Source organism: Homo sapiens, chromosome 3 (genome assembly GCF_000001405.40).
Source record: "Homo sapiens chromosome 3, GRCh38.p14 Primary Assembly".
Taxonomy (NCBI): domain Eukaryota; kingdom Metazoa; phylum Chordata; class Mammalia; order Primates; family Hominidae; genus Homo; species Homo sapiens.
The window spans coordinates 8,886,904-8,912,472 of NC_000003.12; the positions used below are offsets into that span (position 1 = coordinate 8,886,904).

The 25,569-nt window shown below is 38.2% G+C and overlaps 1 protein-coding gene across 2 annotated transcripts in view; it reads right to left on the minus strand.

Moving 5' to 3' along the window:
• The window catches only part of RAD18 (RAD18 E3 ubiquitin protein ligase), an 86,398-nt gene that overhangs the window by 9,829 nt on the left and 51,000 nt on the right, over window positions 1-25,569 (minus strand). For both annotated transcript variants that reach the window (NM_020165.4, XM_017006873.2), the window contains 4 exons: window positions 25,409-25,469; window positions 15,477-15,617; window positions 11,991-12,144; window positions 3,486-3,548 (listed from right to left, as the gene is read on the minus strand). In NM_020165.4, the coding sequence (NP_064550.3) occupies window positions 3,486-3,548; window positions 11,991-12,144; window positions 15,477-15,617; window positions 25,409-25,469 (419 nt within the window). The remainder of the gene's footprint in view (window positions 1-3,485; window positions 3,549-11,990; window positions 12,145-15,476; window positions 15,618-25,408; window positions 25,470-25,569) is intronic.

The following is a 25,569-nucleotide window of genomic DNA, read 5'->3' on the forward strand; positions in this document are numbered from 1 at the left end:
GGCTGGGGCCAGAACACGAAAAGCCTTGGATGGTGGAGAGCTACTTTAAAGTCTAAGGGGGAAAATACCTGTATGTTACGTTTCACTGGCAAAATGAACTGGTAACAGACCAAGGCAGAGAGACAGCTAGACAGTGGTTGCTGCAAGCTGGAAAGTAAAGGGCCTGCAGGAGTAAGCAGTGGCACAAAGGGATTGAGACAGTACAGAAGCTGCCCCAGCTATACCTAGGAGCTTGTTAAAATGCCAATCATTAAGCCCCTTCCTAAATCTACTGAATCAGAATCTCTAGGGGTGGAGTTCACTAATCTGTAGTCTAACAAGTCCTCCAGGTGATTTTAAGTCTGTGAACCACTTATTTATAGGACTTTGCAAGTGACTGCAGGTGAGTGGTAAGGGAGAGTGAGAAGTTTAAAATAATTGCTAGGTTCTGGCTTGAACAGTGGGGAGGACTATGATCCTACCATTCACTGAGAAGAGGGGACACTGGAGGAGACGCAGATCTGGAGCAAAGGGCTTAGACTCACTGAAGCATATATATTTTACTCACATTTATGTGTAAAGAAACTGAGACCCCAAAATGTGAAGTAACACCAGGACCATTTTCTATTTTCATTCTGTTCAATGTAAATATATCTTGTAGCTTGTTGTTGTTGCTTTTTGGTTGGCGTATCATTTGCCCCAACTGTTATCCGCCACCTCAGACAGCTGCAAAGCTAGTCAAATGCCTCTCATTACTTTCAACAAACACCCTTAGAGAAAAGGCTTTTTGAATTGAGCAAGCTCCAAGTCAAGTAAAGTAAAAGTCTTGCAAGTAGAGTCTTCAGGGAACCATCAGACAGGCTAAGTAAAAATTGTGTGGGTGTGTTTCCTATATATTATGATGCTTTGACATCATAATATATAGCCTTTCTAGCTGGGGAGAGATTGCCCCTGCTGGCATAAGGAGAGGCTGGTCAATTCTCAGAGACAGCAACGGGCCCAGCCAGGAGTATGCCTGTGACATGCAAACTAACCAATCCAGAGTCACAACTCCTCTATCTGGCCCCAACACCCTAAAAGGCAATAGCCCTCTGCCTTAATCATGCCAGGGCCAGGTTCTAGGTAACTAGGGACCACTCCTATAGCTTGGAGCCACTGAAATTATTCAAACTAGCCAGTCCTGCACTGTTCACCCCACCCTGCCTTGCCTTTCCTGAGAAAACCCCAATCAGGGTTCTAGCCTAAAGCACTTCCCTTGTTCCTGTCTTCTGCCTCCTGACCACGCTAGCGTCTTTCCCTTGTGGACCTGCACGGTGTGCCATGCCCTGTCTCTAGGACCTGTGAGTATAATGAAACAAGTTTTCCTGAGCCTCTCCTGTGTCTCGTGGCCACACTGACTAATCATCTCATAAAAGAATACAAAATGTAGATAGAAGACCCCAAGACCAGTCTGCAGAAAATAAGTTTCCTGCTGCTTACAAAAACCCTGCTTTATATGGAGCCATGTGTTGCTAACGAAACCTCTAAATCATTTGTGGAATTAAGAGAATGTGTCGGAACTGATATGGTATGTTCTAAGACTAACATCTCAAATATGCCACTTGTGGTACTACAAAAAAATGCCTATAAGCTTAAGATGGGTATTTGTAGAACTGCAACATTTTGTTGAAAAGTAAAGCTCTGGAGGCTTTTCCTGATTCTGCTTTTAAAACTACATCACAGCAGAAGTTCTTCCTTAGAAGGAACTGCGGCTGTTTAAACTATTCTATATTCTGCTGAAATCAGGAGGCCTGGATTCTGATCCTGGAGGTATCACTAACTAGTCCTCGGACCTTGACCAAGGGTCAGTTTACCTCTCTGGAGCCGAGCTTCCTTCTCTATAAAACAAATGGGTTGGGCTAGATGAGCTCTTGTATCTTTCTCGCTTTAAAAACTGAAATGATAGGATTTGTTTTCTAAGTGCTTTCTGGTAGTAATCACTTTAAGAAGTTATCATTATCAAGAGCAGGCTTGGGCTCAGGAACTCTGGGCTCATAGTCACTGGTGTCAGGGTTAGTTCAGTATGAAGAGGTACAAGAGGAAAGTAGTTAGCTAAGGAGTCTCCTCCTCTTCCAGAACTCAAAGTTAAATAATGCTTAGGTGAGAGACAGTAATGCAGCCAAAATCTCAAACTTACATAAAATGCTACTGCTTGAACCACCAAATATCTCATAATAAAACCATGTGTGCCCTGGATACACCATACTTTTCCACTCTCCCAGTGATTCAGCTATGAAACTACAAAATGTCAACTGCACAGCAAGCCTCTCCACCTTTGGAAAGATAGTAGAGTTTAATGGTTGAGGGTGCTGACTTTTGACAATTAGGTTAGAATCTCATCTCCATCACTTATTACTTATTGCTATATGACCTTGGGCTGGAGACTTACCCCTTTGAGCCTCAGTTTCCTCACTGTAAAACAGGGATAATAGAACATCATAATGTTATATTTAAATGAGATCACACATGTATTTACTATGAGTTAGGCTCATGTTGACAGTGGGGTTAAAATGCCTAACTTATAAGCCAGTGGGAGTGATGGACAAACAAATAATCATATAAATGTGCTGGAAAGAGATGGACACAGTGCTGTAAGCGCCTACTGTAGGAGGACTGGATCCAGGAAGAACTTGAGCTGCTGAGTAGGGGTGTAAACTAGATGAAAAAATAAAGAACATTCTGGGTAGAGGGACAAGTTCAAAGGCTCTGTGGTGGGAGAGAGCTTTTCATGCAGGAGGACCTAAGACATCTATATGATGAAGCAGAGAGAATATGAAGTAAATAATAAGAGATGAGTCTGGAGAAAGAGATCCAATCATTTAGGACCTTTTACGCATATTAAAGAGTCCCTTCTTGAACCTAAAAGGAACAAGAAGCCATTCAAGATTTTTAGAGCAGAGGGATGAGTAACAGTGATCAGATTTGCATTTTGAAAAGATCGCTCTAGCTGCATTATGGCAATTACGTAAGATTATAATACCATGTTTTTACTGTACCTTTTCCAGGTTTAGATACACTAACAGGTACCATTGTGTTACAAATGCCTAACTGTAAAATGCTGTACAGGTTTGTAGCCTAGCAGCAATATGCTATACCCTAGAGCCCAGCTGTGTGGTGGGCTATACCATCTAGGTAAGTATACTCTGATGTTCCCACAACAATGAAATCACATTTCTCAGGACGTATCCCCATTGTTAAGTGATGCATGACTGTATTAATTGCCCATAAGAACAATTTATCCATACAGAAATAACATCTGATACATAACTACAGTTATTACATAGGATTCCATTTCTTAGCAGAAATATATAGAAACAAGTAGTAAACTGAAAATCTTTACCTTGCATGAGGATTACTACTTCTTTAAACCAGAAAGCAAAAATATAATTTTGTTTGAAAATCAGCTGCATAGAAGTATAATTTCTCAGGTCAAAGTGCATGCTTATTTCATGATTATGAGAACTCACTTATGTGATGCTTCCCAGGCTTCCTCTTCTTCTAAAAGATCTCTTATGATGTCTGAACTGGAACTAAAAGGATATGTACATCAGTATTGACAGACAACAAGAAGACTGTATCGTCCCATTTATATAAAATTCTAGAAAAAAACAAATGAGTCTATAGTGACAGAAAGCAAACCAGTGGTTACCAGTAAGAGGAAGGAGGGAGAGTGGGGGTGGGCAAGGAAAGAGAGAGCCAAATGTAGTTTCCATTAGGAGAGGAGGAGCAAAGGCCAAAGGCGCTGAAAAACACTGAGGCAGATTTTACCATCTTTAGTATTTTCCACTAGCCAGGGAGGCTGAGATTCCCTGCCACCCCTACTTCAACAGAAGTTGTTCTAAACCCTTCTATTCACAAGACCCCAGCTCCTGCTACTCCTTACCTTGGAGAGAACTACTCCAATTTAAACAAAGCTGAAGCTGTTTTAACCCAACCTTTTCATTCCCTTCTCTCTACTCCAGTGTCATCCATTCTTCTTTACCTGATGTGCTTAAGGTACTGTTTCTCAAGCTTTTAAAACTATCATCTTCCTAAGCAGCCTTTTTACACTTTTCCCCCAATCCCATGAAATTTTAATACCACAAATATGATGTCTGTTTGTTCATGTGTTGAGATACACATACACGCACATGTATAAAGCATATATATATAAAATATATATATATATATATATATCTGTGTTTTATGCATACACACAGTAACCTTTTTACCCACTTCCCACCCCCACGAAAAACAAAATTCCACCCTTTGGGGGTGATACTGCTCCTACTGAAAACCCACGAGCTAGGGAAATGGGAGCTGCGGAGGATCACGTAGTTCTGGGGCCTGGCAGGGGTCACAGAGTTGGAGAAAGAGTAAAGTAAGCTTCTTGCCAACACCCCCCTGTGCTCCACAACACACACAATTTTTTTTTTAAACAGGAAGGTTACAAAGCATCTCTACTATTCTAGCTAAGAAAGGAGGATGGCCAAGCCTGTCAACTAACCTAGTAGAGTCTGTGATCAATTTACCTAGGGGCTTTCAAATCACCAGCACAAATCACTGATTTGTTAAAGGAAAACATTTGCAGTACACTAATGACATAAATCTAAGAGGTTTTTGCTATGCTACCTCAGTGAAAACAGATGTTAGAGGTGGTTAACAAAAAACACATCTCAGAAGTTGCCTGCAATCTCCTCTTCCTCTGTGACTTCAATGTCACTGCCCAGCCAGGCTGCACAGCTCCCTGGTGTCTTCAATTCCCATTATCTTTCCTTCTGCCCCACCTCAGGCACTCACCTGAATGATAACCAAATCACTAAATGGACTGATACAAAATTTGGGAGGTTCAGAATTTTATCTAAAATGAAGTTTCAGGATTATCTGCTATATCTGCTGTTCCAATTCTAGTCACCACTGAAAAACACAGTTGATGCTAATACAATTAAAATACCAGACAGAACTGCTCATTCCTTTTTCAAGTAATGTGCTTATTACCATATCTGCTCAAAAACCACATTCCTAAAATTAAACATAGTTTCACAAATAGGATTTTACAAAAAGACACTTAGGTATAGCAGTCAGTGTTACTAAAATTATCACTCAGATCGCTTCCCTGGGGATAAAAGCAATTAATATTTTTGAAGTCTTAGTCATTTTAATATGCCTTGAGGATCAAAAATTCCTTTAACATTCTTTCAAGACATTTAAAAAATCTTCCAAAGGAGAAAATTAATTACTCATTCTGATATTTCTGGGGTCAGAGCATATACAAGCCTACACAACTGCAGCTTTAAAGTCTAGAACGAGGAACTTTTTCAGCTTGTCTACTATTTGGTCTTGAAACATTCTGGAAGACCACGCTTCAAGAAGCTGGATGAATGTAAGGTTTGGTACATGAACGTTACAGCTCCCCTATGGAAGGGCATTCAAATGGCCCTCTCTGATGTCCCTACTGGTCCAGGCTACAGTGGATATTAATATATAGATTACACGTGAGAAAGACTCACTGGCAAAGATTCAAAATCGAATCTTGAATTCGATGGAATTCCCAACCTTGGTCCAGGAAGATATTAATAGGCTTATTTAGAACACCTGCAATTTATTTTTCACACCTTTTAGTCAGCTTTTAGCCTTATTTTCAGGTCAAAGTTGCAGAAATGTAAGCTAATTCTGTGTGTGTGCATGCACACACACATGCACACCTTGGCCAAGCTGGTTTTTCTGTAATATCTCACTCTTGTCATTCTCTGACGGAAAGTAGCACAGCTTCTTCAGCAAAGTAAAACACTATCTTCGCATATTCCTTTTGTAGCATCTTATTTCATTCTACTAGTAAAGAATTTACTACTGAAGCTGAAAAGTAAGATGTCAAATACCTACGGCAAATGTATGACTGGTAATGTTAGTTAGAGAAAAAACCCTCAGATTTCGGTGTCAGACAAAGTTAAGTTGAGGTCCCATTTCTGTTACTTACTGTGTAATTTTGGGCCAGTTACTTAACTTTCCTCTGTGTCAATATCCTCACATATAAAATCAGGATAATGATACATGTATTCCTTAGGGCTTTTTAAAAGCTTATTCAATATAACACATTAAATATTTAGCATAGAGCTTGGTACGCAGTAAATGTTCAACAAATGTCAGTTCCATTTTCATAAAACAGATTTGGGTCTGAATTATCTGAATAATTGCCTCAGCACCATGCTCCAATTTGCCCGAGAAAACCTGATTACTATGTGCTCTATTTTAATCTTTGATTTCCACTGTTTCTATGACACCAGGGTGTAAATTCATCAGAACCAGCATGGCAGGTACACAGGGTACTGCGGGGTAGGAAAAAACGCAAACATCTGCTATAAAAATCCTGAGGATTAAGGATTACCTACAAGTGGAATTTTTCTAGCATCTAGTAGTTACCTGCCCATATTTCTTCCCTTAATTGTGGCACTAATTTGAACGTGGTTGAGTATATCCAATTTAAAACAATAACTCTTCAAGGGTAGATCACTGGAGGATCAATGCAGGACAACATGCCTACCAGACAATGGTACTTAAATAAATTCTGTCAGCTACCATGAATCTTCCCTCAAACCCCTATTTTTAGTAATCTGTAAGACAAACAATAGCTTATATGCCAAATATTTTAGCAGTTGGCTAACGTATTAGAATAGTAAAGTTCCAGGTTCCAAAAAACTCATTCAATTATGACAATGACGAAAATTATCATGTTCTGAGCAACTACCTCTACAGGCCACAGTGATAATTACTTTGTACACATTAGCTTTTTTAATTTTTTTTTTTTTTTTTTTTTTGAGACAGGGTGTTGCTCTGTCACTCAGGCTGGAGTGCAGTGGTACAATCACAGCTACTGCAGCCTCAACCTCCTGTGCTCAAGGAATCCTCCCACCACATCTCCTGAGTAGTTATAGGTGCATACCACCATGTCTGGCTAATTTTTAAATATTTTGTAGAGATGGCATCTCCCTATGTTGCCCAGGCTGGTTTCAAACTCCCAGGCTCAAGTGATCCTCCCGCCTTGCTTGGCTTCTCAAAGTGCTGGGATTACAGGTGTGAGCCACCACATCCAGCCTTCACATTAGCTTTAATTCACAGAAGCACCCTAAGTTTTCTCCCCACTTGACAAAGGCTGAGAGAAATTAAAGTAAGTAGAAAAACAGGAATGGGAATGCAAAACTCATCTTGTTTTGCCACATTGTGCTGCTTCAATAGTGGTAGCAGAAAAATCAAATGCTATTGATTTTACCAGAGTTAAGAATACGCTCTCCTGCCTACTTATCAATAAGGTTTTTGTCGCACAAACATCAACACAGTTCTGGAAAAAACAAGGCTAAGAGTTTCACTGCTCTCCACTAGAACTAAAGAAAGATAAAATGAAGAGAGCTTAAGAGAAAATAATAAAAATAACTTACTAATATATGCAAAATCCTTAACAAGAGATGAAACCAAGCAACAATAAGTTTACGTTCTATTTACAAAGCATTCACAATATATGATCATCTAATTTGCTTTGTAGACTCATCCAGGGAAGTTAGAGGGACAAACAAACAAAAAAAGCTATTATTCCATTTTTTTCAATGAGGAAACTGAAACTCTGGGAGATTAATTTAAAATTCCATGTGCCAGGCACCTTTCCAGAGTCATAAAGCCAATGGCTGAGCTGACCTCCCACAATGAAACAAGGAAGACTGACTGCTAGGTACATGGATCTCAAGGAGTCATACACATTTCAAGGACTTGATGTCACAGTATCTTGGACAAAGATACATTCCCCTAAAACAAATGTTCCATTCATCCAAAAGATGGTCTGCCTCATGCACCACACCCAGTTTAAGCGCTTTTTTTTTTTTTTTTTTTGAGATGGAGTCTCGCTTTGTCACCCAGGCTGGAGTGCAGTGGCGCGATATCGGCTCACAGCAACCTCCGCCTCCCACGTTCAAGCAATTCTGCTGCCTCAGCCTCCCGAGTAGCTGGGATTACAGGCACATGCTACTGCGCCTGGCTAATTTTTATATTTTTAGTAAAGGCCAGGTTTCACCATGTGGCCAGGCTGGTCTTCCTGACTTCAGGTGATCCACCTGCCTTGGCCTCCCAAAGTGCTGGGATTACAGGTGTGAGCCACTGTGTCCGGCCGAAGCTCTTTCAAAAATGGAAAAGATACTGAAGAACTGTTTCATGTTCTCACATTTTCTCTAGAAAGTTCCAAAAAAAAAAACTCACCACCTGAAACAGAATGAACCATTTAGCTTTCAGGGTATTCTAAAGTTCATAAATATTCCCACAAAAAAGGCTATAATAAAATACACACAGTAATGAGGTTTAGTAGAAAAAGATTTTGTGGCAACATTACATTCATCGAATGTCACATTTAAGTTATAAAATGAAATATAATGTCAACTTTCCAACAGCAATTATGAAGATTTTAAAAAATACAAAGCCATCATTGACTTACAGTAAGATACTTCACTTCCAACTTAGGATATTGTTCCACTAGTTTGATGTTTTTTCTCTCAATTTGACCAGAAACATAAACACTTACTTAGTAGTTTTTCTAATAATTCCAATACCCTCTAAATTACAAAGTTTCATTAATATATTTGTCTTCCTTACTGTCTACACCACCAAACTTTATTAACCAATTTATGATGACGATTAACACTGATGAGATGATTTCCAAAACTTTATAAAGAGTAAGGTTTAAACAGTACTTGCTCTCTTTTTTTTTTGTTTGTTTGTTTAAAGTAGATTGATATATTTACATGGTTCAAAATCAAATGACATAAAAGATGTATACTGAGTTGGCCCACTTCCTCCTTTGTTCCCATCCAACCTGTTTTCTCATCTCCAACATGCAATCACTTTCATTAGTTTGTTGTGTAGTCTTCTAGTGTTTCTTTATGCAAAACCAAACAAATATAAGTATTCCTCCCCCTTTTAGAAAAGAGGTCACATGCTATACATGCTGTTCCGAACACTGGACTTTCCCATTATCCAGGAATCCTAGTTGAAATGCTGATTTTAAAATGTTTAGATCTAGTCCTAAAAAACAACCTGCAAAAATTCTCTCTTGCTATAGCCATATCTGTTCCCTCTTTTCTGACCACCCCAACCCACACAGTTCCTGTACCCTCACATCTTTCACGTGCAAATCAAGTGAACTAACCCAAGCCCATCTGGGCATGCTGTCTTCTGGATCCTAAAACCCCCAGAACCAGGGTTTTCTGTCCAGGAGACATTCAGGACTCTTATTTTCAGAAGAACAAATTCTAAATCTGAAAAACTTGTATTTAATATGTACACTGATAATTTTTAACTTTAAAAACATGATAGATTCTACTCTGAAAAACAGCATTGGACTGAATCTGTCTTCCATTATCCTCTAAGGTTCTGGAGCTACATGAAAACAGTGGAGTGGGGAAACTCATAAACCTGTAACTTTAATATGTCACCTGTTCATTTAACTTTTAATCTGGCTTCAGTGCCTTCTGAGATTTGGAGAACAGCAAAAAAAAGCAGAAGAAAGCATTATATCTGAATTCAGAAAACTGGCTTTACCATTCATTAGGATCATGAGATTAAGTCACTTAATTTCTTTTTCGACTGACTCAATCATTGCCTTACCTGCCCCAAAACAGGGGCGCTTCAAATGCTCTTGCTGTCCTTTCTACCACAGAAGCACCATGAGCCTATTTGTCCATGTATGTCCCACCTATTCAACTGTTCAACGGTGTATTCATATAATAAAAGCTAAGCTTCCTATTTGGTGTGTTCTCTCCCTCACCCACGGGGTAGTTGTACACTAGGCATTAATCCCTAGCCCACAGTGAGACGCAGGGTGGCTGAAACCCATGGCGGCATCATCTCTTTATCCTGGCATGCCACAGAAATACTATCATTTGCTATGTGTGCTGAAGAAAAGGGTTAGGAAACATTGTATTAAAGATAGAAGAAAAAGAGAGAGAAAGAATACATTCCTTTTAGTCAATCACTTTAAATTCTTATAAAAAGTAAACTGCTGTATTTTTTTAAGGAAAAAAAAAATAAGAACATTAGGTTAGTTCCAAATATTGGAGTTCTCATGGATGTCTACAAAAATTCAAGTTCAAAAAAGAATTAAACATTTGTGCTTACATTTAACTTACAAGCTTAAGAAACAAAAGATTATCCTCTCTGAGAGTCTAATGCAAAGGAAATTCTTTTTTTTAATTAGCAAAATATCCACTGCTACAACTAGACACTAAACCAAACTCTGAAGTTAAATGGGCAGGGAAACAAAATAAGGATGCTTCATTCTGTTTTTATTCTTTCAACTGTCAGCAGTATAAATGACTGACACAAATAAAAATCAAATAATAAAATGTAGGGGGATAATAGAAATCGCTTACAACACTGAACCCCACAAGGAAAAATGAAGTGAAAGACAAGGAACATCCCCAAAATGAAAATTTCCTCTACCACTTAAGCTTCAATTTGATTACAAGCGTCCTTGATAACAGAATCTGAGGGGTTGAGTATGAAGCTGGTGACAAGACTGGCATGTCTTCAGCACAGCAAGGCCAAATCTATGTAATATACTCATTAACCCCACCCTGAGAACGCCCAGTTGGACCAGATAAATAAATACCACATAGTATGATGCTACTAAAGGAATTTGGTCTTGACTGGTAGTCCCTTCTAAGTTTGAATCTTTTCCTGATTTCTATGGTATCAGTTACCAGAATCAAATGGGTGTCTCTCTTGACTAAGTTTCAGCGTCATTAAATAACACTGGCAATAAGCAATGATTCTGATAGGTAGGCATTTTAAATCAGTACAATTCATTCAGAGGGCAATGCCTACATATCAGAATAATAAAGATAAGTGGCCAGGTACGGTGGCTCATGCCTGTAATTCCAGCACTTTGGGAGGCCGAGGTGGGTGGATCACTTGAGGTCAGGAGTTTGAGACCAGCCTGGCCAACACGGTGAAACCCTGTCTCTACTAAATGTACAAAAAAAAAAATTAGCCAGGCGTGGTGGCACAGGCCTGTAATCCCAGCCACTTGGGAAGCTGAGGTAGGAGAAATGCTTGAACCTGGGAGGTGGAGGTTGCAGTGAGCCGAAATCGCACCACCGCACTCCAGGCTGGGCAACAGAGTGAGACTCCGTCTCAAAAAAATGAAAAAAAAAGTATTCAATAGAAACAAAGGAAGAGCTTTACCATAGCATCAGGTACATAAGTAGAACACTGGGAAAAATGTAGAGCTCTAACAGAAACTGAAGGGTCTGGTAAATTATAGCGCAGAGACATAACAGAATACTGTACTCATTAAAAAATAACAATTATAAACATAAGCTATTATGTTGGTGCAAAAGTAACTGTGGTTTCAATTACTTTTGTGCCAACCTATAGAAACGTAACATTTATGACATAACATTAAGTGAAAGACCGGAACAAAAACTGGTATGTGTGTGTGCATGCGTGTGTGTGTGTGTGTGTGTGTGTGTGTGTGTAAAATAAACCCTATATATTTTTTAAAATATCTTTTCAAAATGACTCATTACCAAACTTCTCATTTTTAAAGTTTCCCCATCTATTCTATTTACTCAGTTAAATTTTTCATTTCTTAACCCTCCTATGCGCCATGTCTTTCTGATCATTTCTGTTTTCCAATATAGTTGTTTTTATCTCCTTTACTCATCGTCTTGACAAAAATTTCACTGTCTATCATGCTTTCTTTTCCAACGGTAGGAAAAGTATCTACATAAAGGCTATAGAGTAGAGACCAAACTCACCCTGTGATCCCTGCACTACCTTCCCAAATCCTGCCTTGTTATCACTGTGAAGAAGACCCAGCAGTAAAAGGGGACTGAAATGTAAGAGTGACACACCATGCCATGCCTCAAAGCTACATTCTAATTATTTCTGCCTATCTATCTACATGTGCATATGAAGTAGATATTTAAAATAATCAACTACTGCATGTTTCTTACCTATTGCATGAATCTGATTCTGATGAAGAAAGAACTTCTTGAATATCAATACAGCTAGAAGAATCCTCTTCTCTGTCAGGTTCCAATTCCTCTGGGGAGTCCAGCTTTGATTGAGAAAAGTGGTTTGTTACTGAGGTCATATTATCTTCCTGTCCTAGGAAAAAATAAATTTAAGAGTACCTTAAAATCTACAACTTCTGTATGCCTATTACTTCTGCAACACTTAATACTGCCATGTGCACTTAGTAAAGTTGAAGTATATGTCACATAGATTCCAGAACTCTAGTGACAGCCAGAGAGCAAGAATTAACACTACAATGGTGCTATCTAATTATACTGTCCAGCCCATGTTTTTCCAAGATTAATTAGTTTAAAAATAAAATTTATTTTAAAACCAGAAGCAGGAAGAATCTTGTAATTCTAATGAGGCCTCTATTAACATATCACTAAGGAATTCTTGCATATTTCATAGATCAGAGAACACTGACAAACCAACATAAGAAGTATAACCAAAAAAAGACTACAGATTCAACTAATAAGACAACCACAATATTTGCTACTATTATATGATAGTGAATCTATCTGGACATTTTTCTAAACATTTTTCTAGGTTAACTAGAATCTAATTATTCTCTATGGAAAAGGACAACTAAACAGACATAAGGAATATTTCCATTTGATCCAATACACATCACATTTCCGTGCATTCTTTGTCATATTCTCAGATTTCAAGGTCTCTTATTGCAGATAAAAATAAAGACCCCAAAAAGCTGGAAGGATGCAGTGTTTACAAAAATGTGGCATATGGGTATGGCCAATTTTCTACAAATATGAGTGGAAGAATATCTGTGAAAGATTCTTTAGTGCCCAGGATTCTCCCACTCATCATGAACGCTGCTGGGATTTTCATCTGTGCTGTCCTTAACTTTCAGGAACTGAGGAGGTACCTCACATGCAAGCTACATGTGCTAATAATACTACAGAGCTCCTTTCATGTGTTTCCTCACAGAGAAACAGAGCTTTCACACATCACTCATCAAGCACTTGTAGAGGCAAGTGGTCTTCAACAAAGCACACTAAAAATACAATTGTCAAGGTTTGATTATACAGAGAGAATTTATGGGGAAAGAACATAACAAATTCTTCAAAAAACCTTGCCAAGTTCATACAGTTAAATTTTTTTCAGAAATAGTTCTAAGTTTTTGTTACACTGAGAGAACAGCATACTTCACAAGAGTGTAATTCCTAAAAATATGCTCCTAATGTCATCTGGCTGTCAATAAACTATCATTAGCAAAACAAAACAGCACCCTCTAATGTATATCTGGAAAAGGGAAAAAGAATTTAGCCAGGATGACCATCCTGAACCTCTAGGAACTCCTCTTGTAAACAGATACCAGAATCACATTAAGAGGAGCCAATCCCCCAGTCAACTCGGTTCACCCAGGGACTATATTACTCAACTAGTGAGGTGCATGCAAGCAAGCTAGCAAACCAGGGAACAGGAATTCAACTTAAAACAATCTTTTATTTTTGCACATTGTCTGTATTCTTTTCTTACTTCTTCCACTCTTACATACACTTCTAGAAGATATATTCCCTCTTGGGAACAAACAGCATTCAATAATCTGTGGGCATAAAAAATAAGTTATCCTTCCTACTTGCCCTTAGATCTCAGAATGCAGGACTCCAAAATAGAGCCCCGAAGAGTGAGGCTCAGACATCAGAGCTCCCCAGAGACACACAACAAAAACAGGCTAAGTTTTCACTTGAGAGAATATGCAACTTGTTCACTTACATGAGCACTTCAATGTTCTAAAGAGCAACAATTATATTGGTTGTATGATGCTATACAAAATCCATCTTTTCAGTCAGTCTGTGTCTGTCTTCATCTCTCTCACATACCTTACCCTCTCAGACATCTCATTCATGCACAGCAATCTAAAAGCAGCAATCACCTCTGAACCCCGGAAAGAGTAATATTGATGTTCATAAATACATACAAGCCATCAATGATATTCAAGAGAGGTTCAACTAATTAAAAAAACTTTTCTTAATGGGAAATATTCAGTCAGATTTTCTCAAGTGCTAAACTAGTTTCTAGAAATATCCTTTAACAACTGCATGAACAAGTTCGAGTTGTTCAATGACCATGAGTTACATACTGAGGCAGCACTTTATGCACAAATTGTTTATTAGTCACTAGGGAAATGCAAATCAAAACCACAATGACATACCACTTCACATCTACAATTTTTAAAAAATTTAAAAATCAGAAAATAACAAGCATTGATGAGGATGTGAAGAAATTGGAACCCTCATGCTTCGCTGGTGGGAATGTAAGATAATGCAGCCACTATGGAAAAGTTTAACGATTCCTCAAAAGGTTCTAAACATAGAACCAGCATATGAATCAGAAATCGCACTCTAAGCTGAAACTTAAATATCTGACCACCAATGCTCATAGCAGCATTATTTATAAGAACCAAAAGGTGGAAATAACCATAGCAGATAAATGGATAAACAAAATATGACATATACATACTATGGAATACTGTTTAATCAAAAATTTTAAAATATTTTAAAATTTTAAAATGTGCTACAACATTGAAGGACTCTGAAAACATTATGCTTAGAGAAAGAAGCCAACACACAAAGACAAATATTATACAATTCCATTTATATGAGGTACCTGGAATGGGCAAACTCATAGACACAGAAAGTGGAATTGTTATTACCAGGGCTATGAGGCAGAGGGGACGGAAGAGTTGCTATTTCATGAGTGCAAAGTTTGTGCTGGGAATGATGAAAATGTTTTGGATATAGACAGTGGTGATAGTTACACAATATTGTGAATGTACTTAATGCCAATGACTTGTACATTTATGAAGGGTTAAAAAGATAAACATTGTGTTATGTATATTTTACCACAATATAGAAAAACATAATAAGCAATTTTCTTGCGCACTTTCCCCCATTATGATTCTTTTTTGTTCACTGGTCCAAAGCCCAGGCAATAGAATTAAAATATCAATTTCAAATTTTAAAATGGATCAAAGTTAAGGAACGTGCTCTGTATTAGCCTACCAGGTATGTTAACTTTAGACTGTTTGGCAGAACATTTCATCCAAAGTAAACACCAGTGTTCTATCACAAAAATAATTCACTCTCTTTACAGGATCTCCACCAATAAATTCTATATCTAGAAAACATCCTGAAGCTTAAATAACAAAGAAATTTATGATTTATCATTAACTGAAAGGACGATAGACAAAAAGAGATTGTTTCTTCAGGACATTCTTCCAACCACTTTCCCCATAGTAATAAATCTAGTTTACAAACTGCTACATGAAGTTTGTCTAAAAATACTTTTTCTCATTTCAAAGAACTAAGAACTCCAAAGTAAATTTCTTTGGTTTAATTTTTTCATATTAAAAGTAAATAATGAAATTCGACATATGTCTGTTTTTAATTATAGTCTCTTACCCATGCATACAGAAGATAGCTTTTCTGTAGATTCATCTTCTTTTGTTATTGTTACTGTTTTTTGTGACATTCCAGCAATTTTCTTGTATCCTTTTCTAGCCTGATCCACCAGAAGCTGAAATTCACTCTTATGTTTTTTACCTGAAATTCAAAAGATCTTCTCAGTAAAGCTAGGACTATGAAAGTTAACCATCTACAACTGACAAACTGAATATCAAGAGGTGTACAAGGGATGGGCATGGTGGCTTACGCCTGTAATCCCAGCACTTCAGGAGCCTGAAGTGAATGGATCACTTGTCAGGAGTTCGAAACCAGCGTGGCCAGCATGGTGAAACCCCATCTCTACTAAAAATACAAAAAAAATTAGCCAGGTGTGGTATCACATGCCTGTAATCCCAGCACTTTGGGAGGCCGAAGTAGGTGGACCATTTGTCAGGAGTTCGAGACCAGCCTGGCCAACATGGTGAAACCCTATCTCTACTAAAAGTACAAAAAAATTAGCCAGGTGTGGTATTGTGTGCCTATAATCCCAGCTACTTAGGAGGCTGAGGCACAAGAGTCACTTGAACCTGGGAGGCAGAGGTTTCAGTGACCCGAGATTGCACCACTGCACTCCAGCCTGGGCAACAGGGCAAGACTCTGTCTCAAAAAAAAAAAACAAAAAACAAAAAACAGAGGTGTACAAGCTTGCTCAAGAACAGCATCCTTAGGAATCACTTGCAATAAATTTAAAAGCTGCCAAGCATAAGAATACAAAGGGCTGGAGTGTCATGGAACCTTCTTTTTATCTTCTCCCTTCCTCAAATACAAATATGGAAACATGATATTCCTAGTTAGCTACTCTAGGTTTCTTCCCAAACTCCATTCTCTAGAAAGGCTTTTACATAATCATAAGAGCATGAAAGATGCCCGCTTTCTTAAATATATACAAATGATACCATTCTAACTTCCAAGATACAAGAGAACTAAGAGTATTTGCTGAATCTAAAATAGAAGCTTCTAGGAAAGTTGAATCATCATAACAAAGGAATGTCCGTCTACTCCAGCTCTCCTTTTTTTCTTCACATTTCCGGCCGGTTTCCCAGTAGAGCCCCTTTAAGATTCTAAGATCTCTCCCAACCAATTCTACCTTATCTTACGATACTATACTAACTCTAATCTTTATTTACTACCATTTTAACACCTTTGAATATAATTAACCCTGACCTCAAGATCATCATTATTAATGTACCAATCTGTTCAATAAAGAGCAGCCAGTCATCATTACTGTATGGACTTTAGGGCATGTATTTGTGATTCTGAACCATGCAGCTGAGGTCACAGTTTACTTATCTAGCAACGTTAAATACTTAGGCCACAGTCCAAAGTAATGTCATAAATCCTATAAAATTTTTAGGGAGAACCATACTACAAATGGTTAAAACAAAATTTTGACACTGTTTTCATACAAAAATCAACAATGTACTTGTTATCACTTGGTTTCTTCCATTTTCCTTAGCATAATACTAAGGCATAGGGAATTTACTGGGTGTAGGGAAAAAATTGTGCTTCAGTTGAACTATGGCATTGTCTAAATCTACTCTCCCAAGATTCCAGCCATTCACTGCCTTTGAGCTATGGTATAACTCTGTATGTTGTAGATAACTGAGAGCAATGGAAAATAATTCTTGTCTATAGATATGCAAAATCCTGTTGGGTGGAGGTTCAATTGACTTTCCTCCTCCAATGTGGAAGAAGCCAGTTTTTTGCTCATTATACATTCATTTCAATGTTCCTCATCTGTAAATGTGATGATTCTTTGGCTCCTTCTTTGATCACCTCATAATATCAGTCTTCTCTCTACTAATGAGTTTAAATCTTTAATAAAAACACATGTTCATTTTACATCCATATGAGAATGATGTTAGTTGTTTTTGAAAATTATCTTTTAACGCAAAAAGAGAAAACACTAAATTGTGACGCACAAGGAAGAAAATAGTTGGATTCCTATACATGAATATTGACAGGCACAGCAAAGACATTCAGGAAAGAATGCTCCTAATTACAATATTTTTATGTGTATGGTACATGTATGAAAACTTCTAGTGAAACTAATGTTGGGCTATAAAATGTATGGCATATTTTAAATAAAAGACCAATTAAAGTGTCAGCAAAAGAAATATATGCTGGCCGTAAAGATCACTGGAAAAAACTAACTCTTTACAAACAAGTGAGATCCTATCTAGGACACAAGCTAGGTGATTTCTTTGAGGTCCTATTTCACTCTACGCACTTGAGGATAATTATCTTGTATTTCTCTGGCTGCTTAGAATCAATGGGCTAACACTACCATCATCATTATGTAGTTTCTATTAGGCGAGGGTGACACAGTACTATGGGATCTACATAATTTAGTTAGACCAGGTCTAAGCTATTTTCCTACTAAGGCCATTCCACTGTACACATAAAGACTGGAGATTTAAGAATTAGTCAAGAAATTTGCTAAAGTAATCACATTAACAGTTAAGGAGACTTAATGACTTATTATCTTCTGAAGTAATAAAATCCCAGATTTAAATCTAATTACCCCACAGCTAGGCTGGAAACCAAAAGTAAATGGCAGCCACTACTCTGGCTTTAGCCAGAGAATTCCAATAACCCCTACTCAGAAAATGAAAAATGTCAACAGATCAAGACTAGTAACATTGTTCCCACTTACTTCTTTACTTCATTTTAGAAGATCTGCCATTTGGCAAGGAATACTGCAGAGTTTAAAATCTCAGTTCTGGTGGGCATGTGTCCTGGATTTTCCTCTTAAAAGTTTTAAGTGGCTCAGCTAGTCGTGGGAGTGTCCATGACTAAGTACACGTTCAATCAACTCATTTTCTTCCAGATTTTGAATACCTGAATCATACCATCCTTTGTGCCTCTCTAAGTTTAAATGTAATCTTTTTTAGAACGAAATCAAGCCCTTTACTCCCTGATCACTTTAACTACTCTTCTTTAGACCAGCCCTTACAGTCAGAGTGTCTCTGGGTCTGCCCAAGAACCCAGAACCCAGTGGTACAAAAGACTAAAAACAGGCTCTCTCAAGAGTAGAAAAGACTCACACCCTTCTACAGTGATGCCACTGAGATACTTCTTCTACTTTAAATCAAGAAATGAGTTTGGAGTCAGTGTTTTCCAAAGTAAAATCCCATATATTTCTTTCACCATCATATCACCTATGATAGCCAACCAGCTAAATGTGGATGAAGAACAGAGTTTAACAGTTATGGCTAATGTTCACTACAGGCTTATTCATCTAGCCCTGAACTGACTAGTGACACTTTAATTTCATGATCATAATTCTCAAATGGGCATTCAATACTGCTATAAAACTCTTGCACCTTTCTCTAGTAAAGTTTGCTCTACTATTCTCCAAAATATCTATCTCACACTTTCTTCTCTTCATTCAAATATTCGACACTCCCCATGTGGCCCCTCTTAGTTGGCCTCACACTACTTTGAAAAATATAGAATCATTCTAACAGAAACTCTGTCATCTTCCAAGCACCAATATACCTTGTCTGTGCACTTATGATCTATTTCCCTTGTTCTTACCATGAAACAACTGTCCTTGCTATAATTAAAGGCTAACCTCTAACTTATGCTCAGGATTCCATCATGAAGCTGTGAACAGAGAGACTGTGCCTTTGAACCTAGAGTGTGAATTATGAAAATAACTCAGTAAATCCAGACCAGCATTTTTTTCTTAATGAAATAATAAAGAGAATAGAAAGTATCAGAATGCGTTAAAAATGGAAAAGGTAAATACCATTTTGTGAAGCTTTTGTTTCAGTCATGTGTATGTATACAGTTAGTAGTAATATAAAATTTATCTCTCACTGTGGGTTGTAGTCAAAAAGGTCAGAAAGCCACTGAGTTAAATATCTCCCAATTTAAATAACAAACTTTAAAAAACAAGCAAACAAAACCCTCCCTTGACCCAACACCCCCCTCCAGCTATGACCCTATTTTTTTGCTCTCCTTAACACAGTAAAACCTCCCCCGAAAAGTTGTCTACCTTAATGGTCTCATTTCCTCACCTCCAATTTGGTCTCAATCAACTCTAAACACTTCTGACCTCTCTAATAAGGCTGGTCTTGTCAAGGTTTGCTGCTTCCAAGCTGTGAAACTCCTGTTCCCTTCTATCTCTGTGAAATGTAATGTTGTCTGTTCACAGCAACGTTTGGCCTAAGTCATGATTTGTTTTCTCTCTATCTCAGAGATCACAGTCCTGTGCTACCTGTTTCCCATTATCTGAAAAACCATTCAACATTCACCTCGTTTTCTAGATTTTTTTTTTTTTCATGGAGGAGAGTAAATATAGTCTCTGTTATTCCATCTGGGCTAATAGAAATCTCTATTTCTATTTTTTGGAGAGGGGGAAACAGTTTTTTTTTTTTTAATCAAAATATGTTATTTATGCTAACATGTAATGGGTTTATTGTTAATATTTTTGAAATTTCTTGGTTTTAATTTCTTCTTTGACCTATGGGTTATTTCGAAATGGATTATTTAATTTCCAAATATTTGGTGACTTTCCCAAGGGCTTTGTTACTGATTTCTAATTTAATTTCACTGTGGTCAGAGAACGTATTTTGCATGCCAAATGAATACTCAAGGTGAACTCTCTGCAGATCACTGGGTTTCTCCTTCCAGTACTATGTCCTGCAAACTCTAACTCCTTTGGTTCCTCTGATCTCTCAGCTCTTTCTCCTTAACTTAGAGTCTCCAGGCTTTGCCTGGAATACCCACTTGCCCATACTACAGCCAGGAAACTGTATTATAAGGCTCATCGCATTTTTTGCTTACCTCTCAAGGATCCCTGTCCTTTGTGGCCAGTATCTTGAAAATTGCTATTTCATATGTTTTGTACATTCATTTTGCTTGTTTTAGGTAGGAGAATAAATGAAGTTATTCCATGGCTGGAAACAGACACCCTCTAAGTTTTAATTGATAATGTGATACATATCAACAGATATGACCCACATAAACAAAGGCTCTTTGGTGTCCTTGAGATACAGAATGGCTGGGCTCCTGGCTAAACTCCACCCTTAACCTGGGACCTTGGCCCTAAGTGAAAACAGCTGACCCCATCTCACCGCCCAAATATTGCCTTTTTGGTCTGCCATGCCCCTATCCTTTGCCCATAAAAACACTTCAGCTGGCAGAGCAACACAAGCGGCTGATGCAAGCGGTCAGGGATGCAAGCTGCTGAGCGTCAGGGATACAAGCAGCTGAGCATCAGAGACTACAGACAGATGCAGCTAACTTCAGATGGTGCAGCTTCAGGGAAAGATCACCTTCTTCCCGCATCATCCCCTTTCCAACTCCCATCCGCTGCCAGCCATCACCCAATAAAATCCTCCACATACACTACCCACTATCGGTTTGTGCAACCTCAATTTTCTAAGACGCTGGACAAGAACCCACATGCTGAAAGGGCAGGGGCTAGGACACTGCTACGGGGCCTGCACAGAGCCTGCTCCCACCAGAGAGGAGCATCTGGCTGGTTCCAGCATTCGTTCCCTCTTGCAAGGAGTGGCCAGCAGTGCGCTGAGTGAAAGGATCTACTCCAGTTCCCACCCACAAAGGGGGTCAAGGTCCAGGGAACTATCCCATAATACGGGGGCTCATCCAGGATATGACAAAGGGTGAGTTAAAATGTGGAATTGTTGGATCCGTCTCTTTTCCAAGACCCTGCCACCTCTCTCTTTCCTTTGGGTTAAAGGAATGTTGGTTCTGTTTCCCTTCATGGAGGTCTAGCTGATCTGAATTGAGGTAGACATAGAGTGATTAAAGGAACCCATTTCCAGAGAGCAAGAGGCTCTTCCCCCAGGCCCCCAACCCCCAACTATTCACTTTAAGCATTTTTTTTTTTCTTTTCTAAGTGAGAGAGTTTTTTTCCTACCTCAGGACTCTGCTTATAATAGGGAAATGACAGAGGAGCCACCCCTGAGGTCATTAGGATGAGCCCTAATCCAATATGACTGATATGTTTATAAAAGGGGGAAATTTGGACACAGAGACAACATAGAGGGAAGACGATGTCAAGAGACATAGGGAGAAGATGGCCATCTATAGCCAAGAAGAGAGACCTAGAACAGATCCTTCCTGCATGGCCCTGAGAAGCTCGGGACACCTTGATCTTAGACTTCTAGCCTCCAGAACCCTGCTGACATCTTGATCTTGGACTTCTAGCTTCCAGAACCACAAGACAATAAATTTGTTATTTAAGCCATGCGGTCTGCATGCAGTATTTTGTTTTGGCAACCCTAGCACACTAATAAAAACACATAATTAGAAATTAATTAGAAATAAGTAATTAATTGCACAATAAATAATGATTATGACCATTATACTCTTCCTTGCTTTATTTTTTCACTTATCACTTCCTAAAATACTAGAAAGATATAAACTCCAACAGAGTAGGCTTCTTGTCTGTCTTGTTCATTCCTATATCCCCAGCTCCGAGCACAGTGTCTGGCACGTGCTAAGTACTTGACAAACTTGTGATGGCTGAATGAATGGAATAGTACTACGAAAAAACACAAGATAATGTAAGTGCACATAGAAAGAAAATCTTACCTTGTCCTAGAGATCACAATGGGTTTCCCAGGGAAACTACAGTTGAGCTGGTTGAGAGTGGGGAGTATAGATAGGGGGGTCAGAGGCAATTAGAGAAAGAGATAGTTCCAGACAAAGAGAGAAGAGGGTAACAAATGCCCTAAAACAGTGAAGGACTTGGTAAAGTAGGTAAAAGATAACCAGAGTGATTGGAATACAAGGAGTAAGGGGAGGAGAAGAGGCAAGGCTAGAGAGGTAGGCAGGTCCAGATACAGGAAATAACAGACTTTACAAACTGTAGCTTAAGAGAAATCGAAAGCCCACTGAAGAGTTCTTTACAATGGCAGGAGGGCAGCAAGGCAGAAATGGCATGATGTGAAGACTCAGCAGTTTTGGAAGACAGTTTTGGCTTCTGAGTATTAGGAAGGGGCAAGAGTAGATGGGGGATGACTAGAGAGCAAAGTGATACATAAGAAGTGTACGGACTCGGGGGATATTTAGAAGATAGAGACTGACAGAACTTGGTGGTGAACTGAACATGGGCAGATAAAAAAAAAAAGTAACAAATGAAAGATAAAGAATCAGAATGGCAAGCTAGTTATTAGCAACAGTGATGGAAAGTAGAAAACAGCGGAAGAATACCTTTGAAAATTTGGAGAAAAGTATCTTTTTAACCTAAAGTTCTACAAACAGCCAAATTATCAATCAATAATAAACGGGTTATTTCCTGTTATGTATGGAATGTTATATATCTCAAGAAATTCCTCTATACCAGGGGTGTCCAATCTTTTGGCTTCCCTGGGCCACACTGGAAGAAGAATTGTCTTGGGCCACACATAAAATACACTAACACTAACAATAGCTGATGAGAGAAAAAAAATTATCATAATGTTTAATAAAGTTTACAAATTCGTTTTGGGCTGCATTCAAAGGCCATCCTAGGCCGCAGTTTAGACAAGCTTGCATACACCGTTTCTCAGGAAGTTTCCTGGCAAATGTATTCTACCAAAACAAGGCAAGAGAAGAGGGAGACTTGGAACTTGGAAGAAGTGAACCAACACAGGAAGGAGGAGAGCAGAATTCCCAGAAAGTTGGTGACAAGAAATTCCAGAAGAGCAGCCATGTATTAACAGAAGGCAAAAAGGACAAGCATAGTAGACTGGAACAGGACAACAGAGGCTAGGGGTGGCCCTAGGAGAGACGTTCTTGAGAAAATAATGAGTTATAATCAATGTGTGTAAATGTATTGGAAAGTGATTTACACTTCTGTTGGAAGGTTTAGAGATATATTAGTACTAGGTAAATAGTTAAACAAACAAAAGAGAATTATTAGTTATAAGAAAAACAAGGCCAGGTGCAGTGGCTCACGCCTGTAATCCCAGCACTTTGGGAGGCTGAGGCGGGCGGATCACGAGGTCAGGAGATCGAGACCATCCTGGCTAACACGGTGAAACCCCGTCTCTACTAAAAATACAAAAAACTAGCCAGGCGTGGTGGCAGGCGCCTGTACTCAGGAGGCGCCAGCTACTCAGGAGGCTGAGGCAGGAGAATGGCGTGAACCCAGGAGGCAGAGCTTGCAGTGAGCCAAGATAGCGCCACTGCACTCCTGGACAGAGCGAGCCTCCATCTCAAAAAAAAAAAAAAGAACAACAGAATGTTTTGATGAAAGGAATTATAACCATCTTATGCAAATTGTCTGGCTTGAGCCATAAACAATGTATCTAACTAAATACTGAGCTTACAAAAACTTATGACATAATATTTAAAGGATGGAAGGGAAGCAAAGGTAGGGCTCAGGATATATAAATGAGCTAAATCTCCATCTTTCATATTAGCACATCAATAGTTAATGTGAAATTGAAAAACTTCAAGAAGTAGCAGAAAAAATACTTTTTTATAAATTGTAAGGTAATTACCAAAAGTAGCACCAAATGGCTTGATAGTTGTTACCTCTAGGGAATGGGAATAGAGGCAGGTTGTTGGAGGATGCAAGAGACTGCTCTTTTATATGATAAGGCTCATAAAAAGTAAATGATTTTTTAAAAACTACATGTAAAACATTAATAAAATGTTTAAAGATGAAGATATATCAATAGTATAGTTAGAACCTGACACTAAATCAAAATGTATGAATAAACTAAAAGGCTAAGCATCTAAGCTTTGTGAAGCACTTGACTTTTGAGGTTTATTTTAAGGCTAAATAAATTAATACCACCTATTTAGTAAAGTTACACTTTTTAGATATCTAAATGGTGGGCAATGAATATTTACTTGACTGAATATAGTCCAAATTTTTCTTAATATGGGAGGATTATTAGATACCACCCTTTCAGTTATTTAAATTACTTTCTCCCAATGCAAGTTTTCTGGTTTCCTTATTTTCACAGGCCTTAGTGATCCTTATTTTTCCAGGCCAATTCACTGATCATTTGATATTCTCTTTTGTTCTCCTTTCTAAAGAAAAATCACTCTGACATCCTACAAGTTGATCAAAGAGGTTCACATCATACTTATCTGTCCAGCAACAGAACAATGGTGACTTTTGTTGTTCAGTCCATAATCCAAGACTCCTCTAGGGTCCTTTTCCTACTCTAGCAAGGCACAGGCAATCACACCTACATCCAGCGCAGGTGTGCTTCATCCTCCCTCCCACAATACATCACTACAGAACCTGGCCCTTCAGAGTTTAAGAAATGAAGAGAGAAAAAAATTATCTTACCTCAATTAAAACATACCATGCCTGGGAATACTGATTCAATGAACATCTATTAACTATCTACTGTTCGTCAGGCACTTAAATTTAAACTAAAATCCAACCACCACACAAAGAGTAACAGCTATCTGACAAAACAGTAATGTGTTAGCCCTGGGAAAGATATACACGAAGACCATTTAAGGAAAAGGAAGTGATAAAGTTGGGAGGTTGCTAACAAGCAATAAAATGAAAACTATTTTTGGCACAAATTTGCAAGCTATAGAAGCATTGAAATCCTATACAGAAGTATTGTTACTGAGTGGCCTGAGGACAGGATAGAGTCCCGAATGTTTCCATTTTAATCCCAGCTTCTTTTCACAGAAATGCTTTGAGAGCAGCTAATTAATATTTGCAAAGTGCTTAGTGATAAGCTCAAAGTAGAATGCTAGTCATAAAAATCAAAAAGCAGGCATATAAAATACAAAAAAAGTCACTAAGTAAACACCCAATTAAAATTCAATCTCTTAAGTAATGTTAACAAAAGTTTGAATTGAACCTTAATATAAAACATTATTCTGAAAAATTACTTAAGATGAAAAACAGCAACTGAAGCTCTTTACAAATTAAATAAAGTCGTGCAACTTACGATATTTACTGTGGATTTCATCTATTTCCTTTTCTGTTTGGTCCTTTGTAAAAACCATTACCTAAAATAATCAAAAAAAGACCTTAATAAAAATCTCCCCAAAATGACAAAAAGGGAAATATTACAAACCTTCAAATCTCAAATGTGAGTGTTTAAAATAG